The 13,347-nt window shown below is 49.9% G+C and overlaps 3 annotated features.

Annotated features, from left to right (window-relative positions):
• Positions 2,145-2,646: an enhancer, noted in NCBI's record as "H3K4me1 hESC enhancer chr11:76314807-76315308 (GRCh37/hg19 assembly coordinates)". NCBI's record gives its function as "activates a minimal SCP1, AML or CMV promoter by ChIP-STARR-seq in naive H9 embryonic stem cells {active_cell/tissue: H9 hESC(naive)}" and the evidence as "EXISTENCE:reporter gene assay evidence [ECO:0000049][PMID:30033119]".
• Positions 7,721-7,800: a silencer, noted in NCBI's record as "silent region_3783". NCBI's record gives its function as "represses an Ori minimal core promoter by ATAC-STARR-seq in GM12878 lymphoblastoid cells {active_cell/tissue: GM12878}" and the evidence as "EXISTENCE:reporter gene assay evidence [ECO:0000049][PMID:35858748]".
• Positions 8,431-9,082: an enhancer, noted in NCBI's record as "H3K4me1 hESC enhancer chr11:76308371-76309022 (GRCh37/hg19 assembly coordinates)". NCBI's record gives its function as "activates a minimal SCP1, AML or CMV promoter by ChIP-STARR-seq in naive H9 embryonic stem cells {active_cell/tissue: H9 hESC(naive)}" and the evidence as "EXISTENCE:reporter gene assay evidence [ECO:0000049][PMID:30033119]".

Raw genomic sequence — 13,347 nt, 5'->3', positions numbered from 1 at the left:
ACAGCCAAGGGAGGGGGCGGATGGAAAGAAGCAGTGAAGGACTGAGCCCTGGGGCATGGCCACGCTAAAGAGATAGATAATGAGAAGTTTGCAGCAGAAGAGTGAGAAGGGGCTGGCCGCCGGAGTGGGCAGGGTCCTGGGGGCAAATGCACAAAGGCCTCCATGCCAAGAGAGAGACGCTGGCTGGACGAAGCTGAGCAAGATGGGGACAGGAAACTGACAACTAGAGCGTGCTTGTGTTAACAGCAGCGGATCCATATGGGTCTGCAGTACTATCAGCTCTTGCCTCCTCAGAAGAAAGAATTCTCAACCGAGAGGGCATAAGGCAGAGGGAGAGGCAGAAGCAAGTTTTAGAGCAGGAGTGAAAGTTTATTAAAAAGTTTTAGAGTCGGAACAAAAGGAAGTAAAGTACACTTGGCAGAGGGCTCAAGAGGTCCAAGTGCCTGGCTTGACCTTTGACCTTTGACCCCGAGGTTTTATACCTTGGCATGCTTCTGGGGTTTTGCATCTCCCCTCCCTCGATTTTTCCTTGAGGTGGGCTGTCTGCATGCACAGTGGCCCACCAGCGCTTGAGAGGGGCCGCATGCATAATGTGTTTACTGAAGTTGTGTGCATGCTCACTTGAGCTATTCTTCCCTCACCAGTCGAGTGTTCCTAGAGGAAGGCCAAATACCAGTTGAACTCCACCATTTTGCCTCTCAGTGTGCATGCTTAGGCCCACCTGCCCAACTCCTGAGATCTTATCAGGAAGCTGCTGACTACCAGGATCAAGTGTTTTCTATTTTTTGGGAGACTGCCTTTCCCTGGTGCTGGGTGTGCCCAGTTATTATTTTAGAGAGACAGTTTAACAACCACCTGACCGTCATCTGATGATCACCAGACATTCCCTGGGAGGGGCCCTCTCCTGCCCTGCTCATGTCCGATTAGCTACCTACTATAACACTTGGACTTTATTCAGTAGGACAGTGGGGATCCACAGTAGGTTTATGAGTAGGGAGTGGCTTGAGCTGAGCTGTATTTAGGAAGATTAATAATAATAATGTAACTATTATGTGTGGATGGATTATTTATCATTGACTGAACCCTCCCTCTGGCCAGGCTCTGTGCTTGTGCTTTATGCATATTAACTCATGAATCCTCCTATCAATCCTTGAGACAAGTGCTACTATTATTTCTGATGTACAGGCAAAGACATTGAGAGGTTCAGTGACTTGCCTAAAGTCCCACAGCCAGGATGTGGTGCAGCTGGGCCTAGATCCCAGATCATGTGGCTCCCACTCCTGGGAACACATCCCAGATTCAGACTCAGGCCTTTTGGTCGATTGCCCAGTCACTGGTGACCTTGAGAAGGTCGCTGCCAGGGTGTGAAGGTTTCCAGGCTGGTCAGGGCAGGACAACGTGGTTTCTGGGGGGGCCTTCTCTGCCTTAGGTTGCTGCCGGTGTCTGCGCTTGGGGGTCTGGGCCCACCCATACGCCTTTCAGCTCAGTGGGAAGAGTAGCCCTGGCTGTAGCTCTAGGGGGTCCCGGGGCAGCTGCAGGACTGTAGGTCTTTGCTCTTGAGCTGGCTTCACCCTTCCTGGGGGCTCCTGCTCCCTTGGCTGAAGTGGTTAGTTTCTTGGGGAATCTGTCACCATCTGGTCCCCATGTGCTGTCTGTAGGTCTGTCTGGGGCACTGAAAGATTCCGTCCCAGCCCAGAGTAATTGTTACCAGAGGTAGGCAAGATGGGGGTGGGAAGGAAAGAGGGATGTGCTGCCCAGAACTGGCTGCCAAGGCTTTAGTGACTTGAAAAGAGGGAGAGTGAGATGGAGGCAGAGAGAACATCAGAGACAGGAGGAGACAGAGAGAGACAGAGGGAGACACCAGGACAGAGCAGAGCAAGACAGGAACTGACTGAAAGCAAGAGGCGGGCTGCGGCTGACAGCAGCAGGAGGCAGAGCCGATGGCGTGCACAGACAGGGAGCAGGTGGGAGAGAGGCGGGCGCTGAGAGTTGGATCCTCAGGGAGAGGCGGGGGGAGCAGACACCAAACTCCACAATGTGACACCAGAGAGGACAGAGTAAAAGGGAGGGAGAACAGGGATGGGGGCGGGACAGTGTGAAAAGAGAGAGAGAACATGGCTCAGAACATGCCAGCACAGCAGGAGCTGGTGAGACCAGTGGAACAGGGGGAGTCTCGGCCCAGGTGGTCCCCACCATAGCAGTGGTCCTGGGGCAGCCATGGTCATACCAGAACGGTTAGCTCTTGCCCACTGGCCTGGCCAGCCTCAGCTGCCTCCTCCCGGAGCAGGGACCCAGACCTGCACACCTGGCTCGAGGACACCCTCCTTCAGGCCTCCGTCCTGGACCAAGGGGCCTTTGTCCCTGGTCTCCTCTCCAGGGCCCACCTTCCAGTCACCTCCCCACTTGGCTCTAGGAAACCATTTCTCTGAGGGTGATCTTGGGAGGTGGGAAGAGGAGGACCATGAGCCTGAGATGAGATGAGAGCCCCCGTCTGTCCCTGCCTCTATTCTGCACATGACTTCAAGTATCCTTTCTCCGCTCTGAGCCTCAGCTCCTTCTTCTATAGAAAGGGCTGTTTTGGAGATCACTAAAGGCCCATCCAGTGGCACATTTTGAGCCAGCAGTAAAACTGGGCCACAGAGGAGATGGCTGCTGCCTCTGTCACCCACCCGCCTGGTCATCTGTCTCATTCTTTCCTTCACGCATCCACTCCTGCAGTCCCTGTCCTTTTCCCCTCCGTCTCCCCACCTCCCTCCCTCCATCCCTCCTTCCCTTTTCTCTTTCTTTCTTTCTTTCAATCTCTCTTTGTCTTACCCTTTCCTTCTTCCCTTCCTCCCTTCCTCTCTCTCCCCTCTCTCTCCCGTTCTTTCTTTCCTACTCACTGAGAGCCCCCTTTATGCCAGACCCTGGGCTGGGCACTGATGCCTCAGAGGTGGATACTACAGGGTCCAGGGGTCTAGCGGGCTCATCCCAGGACTGTGGCACAAGGCTCCTGAGGCCAACAAGGGCAGATCAGACTCCAGACATAAGTACCCCCTACCCCAAGCCAGCTGCTCCAGCTCATGCCACTTGGCCCAGCCCCCACATCCACACAGCCCTCCTTTGGGCAGTTCGATTCTGATTACTAACCCCACGATACACAGAGGCTAACACTGGTGCTGTGACCAGAATGTTCATGTCCCCCCAAATTTCATATGTTGAAATCCTAACCACCAAGGTGATGCTATTAGGAGGTGGGGGCTTCGGGGGTGATTATATTGGATTGGGATTGGTGTCTTTATAAAGAGACTGCAGAGAGCTAGCCAGCTCCTTCCACCACATGAGAACATGGCTAGAAGGTGCCATCCATGAAGCAAAGAGTGAGCCCTCACCAGACACCAAGTCTGCTGGCACCTTGCTCTTGAACTTCCCAGTCTTTGGAACTGTGAGATATAAGTTTCTGTTGCTTATAAGCCATCCAGTATATATTATTTTGTCATAGCAGCACAAATAGATTAAGGCCAATGGCATCATCAAACATTTCCCACGTCAGTGAGTGGAGACCAGAGAGCGCAGAGAGGGCCAGGGACTTGCCCAAGGTAACAGTCAATCATATCCTGAAGCACTTTCCCCTTTGCCTCGGATCTTCCTGGGAGGCTGGAGGCTGTGTAAATCCCACACCTAGGGCGAGGTCAGCCTCAGCCAGACCTTCACCCAGGCCAGGGAAAGTCTAGTGACGGCCAGTCCGAGTGAAGTCACTGATGGGATCCATGTGTTCAGGCCTTGTCTCTGCCACCACCTCCCCTCCCCACAGCCTTTCCCACCCAGCCCCAGGAGGCCCAGGAGGGGAGGAAGGAAGAGGGCTGCGCTGTGTCAGTGCAGGCACTGTGCCCAGAAGTGATAAGCACTGGGGCCAAGGTTGCAGGAGAGAAAGTGGTCCCCGCCCTGGCTGCCCGACATCTGCTGGCAGGGGCAGAGGCTCTGGAAAGATCAAGCCTCAGGATAGATTGGTACCAGCTGGATGCCGCTGGAGGCTTCGCTCACCTCCGTGGTCTCAGGTGAGCCCAGACCCTGCCTCAGAAGGAGCCAGACTCTGGTCGCAAAGTGAGTTTTGTCACTAGCACTCTGACAGCAGCTCCATGCACCTTCTGTGATGGTCAGTTTTAAGTAAGTGAGTTTTGTCACTAGCACTCTGACAGCAGCTCCATACACCTTCTGTGATGGTCAGTTTTAAGTAAGTGAGTTTTGTCACTAGCACTCTGACAGCAGCTCCATACACCTTCTGTGATGATCAGTTTTAAGTAAGTGAGTTTTGTCACTAGCACTCTGACAGCAGCTCCATATACCTTCTGTGATGGTCAGTTTTAAGTGTCAACTTGGCTAGGCTGCAGTCCTCATCATTCAAACACTGATCTGGGTGTTGCTGTGGAGGTTTTTAGTAGAAGTAAAGTCCAAATCAACTGACTTTAAGTAAGGAGATTATCCCACACAATCTGGGCGGGCTTGATTCAATCAAGTGAAGGCCTTTAAGAGCAGAGCAGAGGCCTGAAGAAGGAGAGATTCCACCTGTGGACAGCAACTTTGGCTTAGGATTCTAGCCTGCCCTTCCTGACAGCCTGCGTTATGAATTTTGGACCAGCCTAGCCCACAACTATATAAGCCAATTCCTAGCAGCGCATCTCTTAATGTGTACCTCTTACTGGTTCTGTTTCTCTGCTAGAGCCCTCACCTTCCGTCCTAATCTCTTTTGGCTGCAGAAAATACTGGACAATTTGTAAACAATGAAAATATATTGCTCATGGTTCTGGAGTCTGGGAAGTCCAAGCTGGAGGTGCCAACAGATCCAGTCAGCGTCTCACGACAGCCCATGCTTCATAGCTGCTGCCTTGTCACTGCATCTCACATGGCGGGAGAGACAAACAAGCTCCCTCAGGCCTCTCTTGTCAGGACACTGATCCCATTCACAAGGGCTCTACTCGCAAGACCTGGTCACAGGCTAGGTGCAGTGGCTCACGCCTGTAATCCCAACACTTTAGGAGGCCGAGACGGGTGAATCACTTGAGGTCAGGAGTTTGAGACCAGCCTGGCCAACATGGTGAAACCCATCTCTACTAAAAATACAAAAGTAGCAGGGCATGGTGGTGCACACCTGTAATCCCAGCTACTCGGGAGGCTGAGGTGGGAGAATCACTTGAACCTGGGAAGCAGAGGTTGAAGTGAGCCAAGATCGTGCCACTGCACTCCAGCCTGGGCAACAGAGCAAAACTCCATCTCAAAAAAAAAAAAAAAAAAAAAAAAGACCTCGTCACTTCCCAGGTACCCCAGCCCTTAATTCCAACACACTGAGGATTAAGTTTCAACATATGAATTTTGGGGGTCACAAACACTCAGACCACAGCACCTTCCACGGTGGGAAGTGTGTGCACGCACCATGTTTTAATTAATATTCTTTCCCAAGCACCTTTCCATGTAGCAACAGAGTCTTCATTTTTGGCTGCAGAATATTCTGTCTTTTTGATGCACCGTAGTTTACTAAGCCAATCCCCTCTTACTGGATATTTAGGTTATTTCTAAATTTTTTATATATATATATATATATATATATATACACACACACACACACACACACACACAATAGAAATACATTAATATATAAATATAATATATTAATATTAATTTAATATAATATTTAGTGTTAATATTAATATCTTATATTTCTATATCAATATAATATAGAAATATATCATTATAATAATATATTTCTACTGTTAAATGTATTATAAACAATAGAAATTATATCAGTATTAACTGTGATGAATGTCATTGTGTTATTTGAATGCTTTTCTTCAGAGGCGGGAGTGGGGCTGAGCCAACTCTGTGGATAATCTGCCCATGCCAGCCCCGCTCCCAGCCTCAAGCGCCTGTTTCCCTTCTCTCCTCTCCGTCTGTCTACCCAAGGGCTTCTTCCAGCACCAAAGGACCTTGTTCAGCCTGTGCAGGGATGTGCCAGAGACCCAACACCCTCACGGGCAATCCTCAATCTCAGGGAATGAAAAGTGGACAAACACCCCAACGTCCAGCTCTTGAGTTTGAGATTCTGATGATGTGTGTTCTATACTCCAGCTCCTAGGGTGCCCAGCAGGATGGAGCCCAGGTGCCCACAGTGGTAACCCGCTCATCGAAGCCACCTTCCTGGGTTTTCTCCCTCCCTTTCCCACTTCTCCGTTTCTCACTGTTGCCTGGCATCACCTCCCGAATGAACTACCTGCACCCAAGCCCTTGGGTCAAGGTTGGCTTTGCAGGGATGAGATTTAGGACAGGAGTTGTGGATACTTTCTTTCAAAGGCTCAAAACCACCTGCAGGAAAGGGACTATATTAGCTCAAACTTCTTCTCAAACCATTTTGTGTTTATTTCCTCCAGAAACTCCTCTCAAACTTCACAATACAGGATGGCAGAGAGAACACAGGCCTTGGATACAGGTAGCCCCCAAATCAATCCCCAGCACTAGCCTTGGGGAAGTCGCTTCACTTTTAAGAGCCTCACTTTCCTCATCTGAAAATGGGCCAGCCGGGCTATCTGTTGGGCTACATAGAGCCTGAGGCCTGAAAGGGAGCTACCATCCCCCTGCCTCCTTCCTGCCTCACTTGCTCCCCACCCTTCCCTGGCCCACCACCTTGGCACCTGCCTCCTCTCTGTGGCTGGCCTAGTGAGCCTGAGGTCAAAGGCCACATCCCTAACTCTTTCAGGTCCTTTAACAACTGCTGTTTACTACAAACCAAGAGCTGTGCAGAGCGCCATGCCTCGATGACATCCCTACAGCTCTATGAGGTGGGCGCGGTGATTACGCCCATTTCATAAGTGAGGAAGTTGAGGTGCAGACAGGAGGGGCTTACCCCAGCCACACGGTGAGCACGAGGCAGCGCCCGGACTCACCTCCAGGTCTCTCTGACTCCTGAAGCCATGCTCCTCAGGACCACAGAGGCTGCCTCCTGCCCGCAGAACCCTCTCCAGAGGAGAGGGGATTCCTTGCGGGTGACTCAGGGCCTGGGGCAAGGAAGCCACATCCCTGGGGTCTGCTGGGAAGGAGAAAGTGACGCCAGGGTAATTCCCATACAGCTATGAGGTTCTTAGCAGCTGGGGGAGGGGGCCGCAGGCTTTGTTGGCTACCCTCATGGTGGGGGCAGCAGGGAGGGTCCCTTAGCTGAGTCTAAGCTTCCTGGGAGGCTATGGGATGTGCGGGAAAGGGTGGGGAGCGGGTGAGGCCACAGCGAGTGTGTTCTGCAGCCTGGGGCCACCAGGGGAGCAGACATTCTTCAGCAGCTGCTGGAAATCCCAGGGGCTGCTTTTCCTGGGAGCCACCAGGAAGATGCCCTGGAAGTGGCCTTTCCAAGGTTCTGGAGCAGGGCCATCCAATAAAACAGAATGTGAGACTCGGATGTAATGACATTTCTCCAGTAGCTACATTAAGAAAGTAAAAAGAAACAAGTGAACTTAATTTTAATAATATATTTAACTTAATATATCAAAATATTATCCTTTCAACATGTAATCAGTATTAAAAATTATGAATGTTGTATTTCATTTTTTTTTTTTTGTATTGTTGAAACCTGGTGTGTCTTTTCCACCCACAGCACAGCTCGTTTCAGACCAGCCACATTTCAGATGCCCAGTAGCCGCGTGCGGCTGGTGGCTACTAAGCTGGAGCGCACAGTTAGAGAGACCTCTAGGGGTGACTTGAGGATGCTGAAGGAGCCAAGGGGCAAACCTCAGTGAGTGGTGCCAGGACCCAGAGGTCACAAGAGGGTCCTGGGACCAAGTGTCATGTATCATTTAGTCTTCTCAACACCACCCAAGGCAGCATGATCACCCCTGTTAGGTAGATGAGGGAGTCAACTCAGAGGAGCCGGGTGGCTGGCACAAAGTCTCCTAGCAGGATGGGAGCTAGTCACCCCCCAGCACTGAGATGATGCTGCAGCCCACCCTACCCCAGGGGCACAGAGGAGCAAAGGAAGGCCCCCCACCCCAGGACTGCTGACCTCACACGTCTTCCCAGCCCCAGGCTTGCCCAGTGAGGGTTGGCACATTTAGGGGAGTCCCTCAGCCACCTTTCTTCATGCAGGAGTCAGGGAGGAAGTGGGCAGGCAGGCAGGTGGGTAGCAGCAGCCTCTTTCTCCTTCATCTTGCCCTGTCACAGACTGGTGTGGGTGGTGCCAGGTGAGCCCACCTAGAACGTGGCTTTTCCCCCTCCCCATTCCCATGGACACACGCATGTGCATGGGTCACAGGTGCTGCCTCTGGCTGGTCCACATTAACCCACACAGCTTCCCACCCTGGCTGCCCCTCACCCCAGCTGGTCCACGTGTCCACACCACCCAGAGCAGCACCGTTCACATCCACTGACTCAGCCAAGATTTCCTGAGGGTCAGCCTGGCAGGAATTTTGCCCATTCTACAGATGAGGACACGAAGGTCCAGAAAGGGGTGGGACTGGGTTCCCTGACTGCTGCTGGGCCTTGGTCCATGGCATCCACTGGCTCTCACTGGTCAAGGCAAGGAAGGCCCCTGGGAGGGGCACAGCATTTGGTGGGTACAGAGGAGGAGGTGGGTTTGCAGGGCTCAGGGCCTGACCATGGGCTCTGAAGGCAGAGGACAGAGTCTGTACAGGGGATTAGACATGGCCACTGGGTCCAGTTATGGAAACAGCCGTCCCCGCTCCCCTGCCACTGGGGTGCTCTGCCCGACCGGAGGGGGAACCAAGCTTGCGTCTCCCGCACTCATGAAGGGAGCACCTCTAGTTCCCAGGGCCAGATGGAGTGAGGGCAAGAGTTGGGGAGGTCTAATTTGCATCCAGGTTTCTGGTTTGAATACTAAGCAGATGGATGGTGGTGGCATTTGCTGGGATGTGTTGTGGGGAGCACATGGGGGAGGCTGAGTTGGGGTTGGGCAGTTTAAGTCCTGGGGGAGATACTGGGTAGAGAGCCTGGGCAGGGAGGGCCTGGGAGGCCTCCATGGAGTGGGCTACAGTGTGGGAAGGGGCAGTGACCAGGAGGGTGCCTTCCCAGTGAGCCTTCCCAAACCGCCCTGTTTAAAAGTCCACCATTCCACACTCCCTATCCCCCTCTGTGCCTCAGTTTCCCTGTGGAACGTATACCATGGAACATACTATTAACCTGTCACTCACCTTCCTTATTGTTTGTTCCCCACGTGGAGGAATGGTGTCTGTTGTTTGCTTGCTTGCTTGTTTGTTTGTTTGTTTGTTTCTCTGCTGGGCCCTGTGCTTGGAGCATTGCCTGCCTCAAAGGTGCATAAATGATGAATGCCTGAAGAGCTGAGGGCTCTGGATGGAGGATGGAATGGGGAGGTGGAGGTGGGGATCGGCATTTAAGAGGTGGCTGAGCAACAAGTTCCAGCCAGCGAGGCCACCGTGCTCACGGGAGTGACTTCCCAACCCTGGCTGTACTCATCAGTAAAAAGGAGATGGATCCATTTGCCAGGGCTGCCATAGCACAGTGCCACACACTGGGCAGAAACGACAGGGAGGTGTCCTCTCAGAGTTCTGGAGGCTGCAGCCCAAGGTCCAGATGTCACCAGGGGCTTCCTCCCGAGAGCTGAGAGGAAGCGCCCATCCTGCGCCTCTCCCTGCCTCCTGGTGCTCGCTGGCAGTCCTCCGCGTCCTGTGGCCTGTGAGAGCATCACTCCAGTCTCTGCCTCCGTTTTCACACAGGGTTCTCCCTGTGTGTCTGTCTCCAAATTTCCCCTTCCTACAAGGACAGTTTTATTGGACAAAGGCCTACTCTGATGACCTCATTTTACCTGGATGACCTCTGTAAAGATCCCATCTCCGAAAAGGTCACATTCTGAGGCTCTGGGGGTCAGGATTTCAACGTTTGAATTTTTGTGGATGTGATTCAACCCATGACATGAGATAATATAAAACCTGTTGGGGTGCAGGGAGGGTGGAGGATCAGTGCAAATTACTGTGCAGGCCAGGCCCTGCTGCCATGACCATTAGGACTGCATTATGGTCCACTGAGGTGGACCTGGCTGCACAAATAATCCGATAACGGCCGGGCACAGCAGCTCATGCCTGTAATCCCAGCACTTTGGGAGGCCGAGGCAGGCAGATCACCTGAGGTGGCGAGTTCGAGACCAACCTGACCAACATGGAGAAACCCTGTCTCTACTAAAACACAAAAAATTAGCCGGGCATGGTGGCGCATGCCTGTAATCCCAGCTACTCGGGAGGCTGAGACAGGAGAATCGCTGGAACCCGGGAGGCAGAGGTTGCGATAAGCTGAGATCACGCCACTGCACTCCAGCCTGGGCAACAAGAGCAAAACCCTGTCTCAAAAAAATAAAAATAAAAAATAGGAATCCAGTAACAAGTCTTCATAAAATACCAGTGCCTGGGCCCCATCCTGAGAGACTCTGGTTTAATTGGTCTGGGGTGAGACCCTGACATTGGGATTTTTTTTTCCAACTTTTATTTTCAGTTCAGGGGCACATGTGCAGGATGTGCAGGTTTGTTACATAGGTAAACGTGTGTCACGATGATTTGCTGTACAGATCATCTCATCACCTAAGTATTAAGCTAGCATCCATTAGTTATTCTTCCTGAAGCTGTCCCTTCTCCCATCCTCCAGCCTCCGACAGGCCCCAGTGTGTGTCCATGTGTTCTCATCATTTAACTCCCACTTATAAATGAGAACATGCAGTGTTTGGTTTTCTGTTTCTGCATTAGTTTGCTGAGAATGATAGCTTCCAGTGCCATCCATGCCCCTGCAAAAGACATGTTCTCATTCCTTTTTATGGCTACATAGTATTCCATGGTGTATATGTACCATATTTTCTTTATTCAGTCTATTATTGATGGCATTTAGGTTGATTCCATGTCTTTACTGTTGTGAATAGTGCTGCAATGAACATATGTGTTAATGTACCTTTATAATAGAATGATTCATATTCCTTTGCGTATATACGCAGTAATGGGACTGCTGCGTCAAGTGGTATTTCTGCTTCTAGGTCTTTGAGGAATGGCCACACTGTCTTCTGCAATGGTTGAACTAACTTACATTCCCACCAACAGTGTAAATGTGTTCCTTTATCTCCACAACCTCGCCAGTATCTGTTGTTTTTTGACTTTTTAATTAGCCATTCTGACTGCTGTGAGATGGTATCTCATTGTGGTTTTGATTTGCATTTCTCTGATGATCAGTGATGTTGAGATTTTTTTCATATGTTTGTTGGCTACATGTATGTCTTCTTTTGAGAAGTGTCTGTTCATGTCCTTTCCCCACTTTTTAATGGGGTTGTTTTTTTCTTGTAAATTTAAGTTTTTTATAGATGCTGGATATTGACCTTTGTCAGATGGACAGATTGCAAAAATTTTCTCCCATTCTGTGGGTTGTCTGTTTACTCTGATAACAGTTTCTTTTGCTGTGCAAAAACTCTTTAGTTTAGTTAGATTCCATTTGTCAATTTTTGCTGTTGTTGCAATTGCTTTTGGTGTCTTCATCATGAGGTCTTTTCCCGTGCCTATGTCCTGAATGATATTGCCTAGGTTTTCTTCTAGAGTTTTTATAGTTTTGGGGTTCACATTTAAGTCTTTTATCCATCTTGGTTTGATTTTTATATATGATGTAAGGAAGAGATCCAGTTTTAATTTTCTGCATATGTCTAGCCAGTTCTCCCAGCACCATTTATTAAATAGAGAATCATTTCCTCATTGCTTGTTTTTGTCAGGTTTGTTGAAGATCAGGTGGTTGTAGGTTTGCAGTCTTATTTCTGGGTTCTATATTCTGTTCCACTGGTCTGTGTGTCTGTTCTTGTACCAGTACCATGCTGTTTTGGCTACTGTAGCCTTGTAGTATAGTTTGAAGTTAGGTAGCGTGATGCCTCCATCTTTGTTCTTTTTGCTTAGAATTGTCTTGACTATTCAGTCTCTTTTTTGTTTCCATATGAATTTTAAAATAGTTTTTTCTAGTTCTGTGAAGAATGTCAGTGGTAGTTTAATGGGAGTAGCACTGAATCTATAAATTGCTTTGGGCAGTATGGCCATTTTCATGATATTGATTCTTCCTATCCATGAGCATGGAATGTTTTTTCATTTTTTTGTTTTTGTTTTTGTCATCTTTTCTTTCTTTCTTTCTTTTCTTCTTCTTTTTTTTTTTTTTTTTTTTTTTTGAGAGAGTCTTGCTCTGTTGCCCAGGCTGGAGTGCAATGGCACGATCTTGGCTCACTGCAACCTCTGCCTCCCGGGTTCGAGAGATTCTCCTGCCTCAGCCTCCCAAGTAGCTGGGATTACAGGCACCCACCACCATGCCTGGCTAATTTTTGTATTTTTAGTAGAGATGGGTTTCACCATGTTGGCCAGACTGGTCTCGAACTCCTGACCTCAAATTATCCACCCACCTCAGCCTCCCAAAGTGCTAGGATTACAGGTGTGAGCCACTGTGCCCGACCACCATCTCTGATTTCTTTGAGCAGTGGTTTGTAGTTCTCCTTGAAGAGTTCTTTCACTTCCCTTGTTAGCTGTATTCCTAGGTATTTTATTCTGTCTGTGGCAATTGTGAATGGGAGTTCCTTCGTGATTTGGCTCTTGGCTTGCCTGTTTTTGGTGGATAGGGATGCTTGTGATTTTTGCAAATTAATTTTGTATCCTGAGACTTTGCTGAAGTTGCTTATCAGCTTAAGAAGCTTTGGGGCTGAGATGATGGGTTTTTCTAGATATAGGATCATATCGTCTGCAGACAAAGATAGCTTGACTTCCTCTCTTCCTATTTGAATACCTTTATTTCTTTCTCTTGCCTGATTGCCCTGGCACATTGTCTTGTGTTGGTTTTCAAGGGGAATGCTTCCAGCTTTTGCCCATTCAGTATGATATTGGCTGTGACTCGTCATAGATGGCTCTTATTAGTTTGAGGTATGTTCCTTCAATACCTAGTTTATTGAGAGTTTTTACCATGAAGTGATGTTAAATTTTATCAAAGGCCTTTCCTGCATCTATTGAGATAATCATGTGGTCTTTGTCTGTAGTTCTGTTTGGCACTGGGATATTTTTTATAAGCTTCCAAGTGGATCTGCTGTGCAGGGAGGGCTGGGAGCTGCATGCTAAGTCTGTGGACACATGGGCTCTGCTGCCTCATCAGCAACCCCACACTTGGCTGGCACAGTTGCCACAAGTATGCCCCAGATCCAAGCTGCTGAGGGCGGGGTCAGGTGGGGGCAAACAATACAACAAAGAGGCTTTGTCCCCAGTGCCACACCCAAGGTAAAGAGGTGCCTGTGGACCTGGGCTGTACCTGAGAGAGGAGGGTCATTCCCAGGTGGTGGCTGTGGGAGACGTGGGGATTACCAAACCACCACTT

The sequence above is a fragment of the Homo sapiens genome, chromosome 11 (assembly GCF_000001405.40).
Source record: "Homo sapiens chromosome 11, GRCh38.p14 Primary Assembly".
NCBI lineage: Eukaryota > Metazoa > Chordata > Mammalia > Primates > Hominidae > Homo > Homo sapiens.
The sequence above is the reverse complement of the archived record's forward strand: the minus strand, read 5'-3'. Positions and strand labels throughout refer to the sequence as shown.